We start from the raw sequence: 1,639 nt of genomic DNA on the forward strand, positions 1-1,639 counted from the left end.
AATTTACAAGCCATACAAGTCAAACAACAAGTAACCAAATAGAAACTTGCAACTAAATGTGAAAGCTAATAGGATATTTTCCTTAATATATAAGAAGCTCTTAAAGATCATTTAGAAAAATTATCAACAATCCACTAAGAAAAAAACAGTCATAACTAGGTAGGCATGTCCTGCTGTGCACCAGAACTGGGATTCAGTGCTAAGATCCCCTCATTCTAGGAAATGGGGGAGGCCAGAAAGGTGGCCACTCCCTCGCCCATTCCACAATGCATGTTCATGGGGATGCTGGTTCTAAACCATTCTAAATGACCTGCTTCTGCATGGGTGTTTTCTACGTAGTGCAGCAGCTCCCTCACTGTAGTTTACTGAAAGTCAACCCTGGACACAAGAGGTTTTTTTTTTTTTTTTTTTTTAAGTTATGTATAGATAGTTCATTTAAAAAGAAATATAGGGGGAGGAGCCAAGATGGCCGAATAGGAACAGCTCCGGTCTACAGCTCCCAGTGTGAGTGACGCAGAAGAGGGGTGATTTCTGCATTTCCATCTGAGGTACCGGGTTCATCTCACTAGGGAGTGCCAGACAGTGGGCGCAGGTCAGTGGGTGCGCGCACCGTGCGCGAGCTGAAACAGGACCAGGCATTGCCTCACTCGGGAAGCACAAGGGGTCAGGGAGTTCCCTTTCCTAGTCAAAGAAAGTGGTGACAGACGGCACCTGGAAAATCAGGTCACTCCCACCCAAATACTGCACTTTACCAACAGGCTTAAAAAACGGCGCACCACGAGATTATATCCCACACCTGGCTCGGAGGGTCCTATGCCCACAGAGTCTCGCTGATTGCTAGCACAGCAGTCTGAGATCAAACTGCAAGGCCGCAGCAAGGCTGGGGGAGGGGCGCCCGCCATTGCCCAGGCTTGCTTAGGTAAACAAAGCAGCCAGGAAGCTCGAACTGGGTGGAGCCCACCACAGCTCAAGGAGGCCTGCCTGCCTCTGTAGGCTCCACCTCTGGGGGCAGGGCACAGACAAACAAAAAGACAGCAGTAACCTCTGCAGACTTAAATGTCCCTGTCTGACAGCTTTGAAGAGAGCAGTGGTTCTCCCAGCACGCAGCTGGAGATCTGAGAACGGGCACACTGCCTCCTCAAGTGGGTCCCTGACCCCTGACCCCCGAGCAGTCTAACTGGGAGGCACCGCCCAACAGGGGCAGACTGACACCTCACATGGCCAGGTACTCCCACAGACCTGCAGCTAACGGTATTGTCTGTGAGAAGGAAAACTAACAAACAGAAAGGACATCCACACCAAAAACCCATCTGTACATCACCATCATCAAAGACCAAAAGTAGATAAAACCACAAAGATGGGAAAAAAAACAGAGCAGAAAAAATGGAAACTCTAAAAAGCAGAGTGCCTCTCCTCCTCCAAAGGAACGCAGTTCCTCACCAGCAACGGAACAAAGCTGGACGGAGAATGACTTTGACGAGCTGAGAGAAGAAGGCTTCAGACGATCAAATTACTCTGAGCTACGGGAGGAAATTCAAACGAAAGGCAAACAAGTTGAAAACTTTGAAAAAAATTTAGAAGAATGTATAACTAGAAAAACCAATACAGAGAAGTGCTTAAAGGAGCTGATGGAGCTGAA

At 48.1% G+C, this 1,639-nt stretch overlaps 1 annotated feature.

Moving 5' to 3' along the window:
* Positions 727–1,340: an enhancer, noted in NCBI's record as "H3K27ac-H3K4me1 hESC enhancer chr4:150769633-150770246 (GRCh37/hg19 assembly coordinates)". NCBI's record gives its function as "activates a minimal SCP1, AML or CMV promoter by ChIP-STARR-seq in naive H9 embryonic stem cells {active_cell/tissue: H9 hESC(naive)}" and the evidence as "EXISTENCE:reporter gene assay evidence [ECO:0000049][PMID:30033119]".

Source organism: Homo sapiens, chromosome 4 (genome assembly GCF_000001405.40).
Source record: "Homo sapiens chromosome 4, GRCh38.p14 Primary Assembly".
In the NCBI taxonomy this organism is placed as follows: Eukaryota; Metazoa; Chordata; class Mammalia; order Primates; family Hominidae; genus Homo; species Homo sapiens.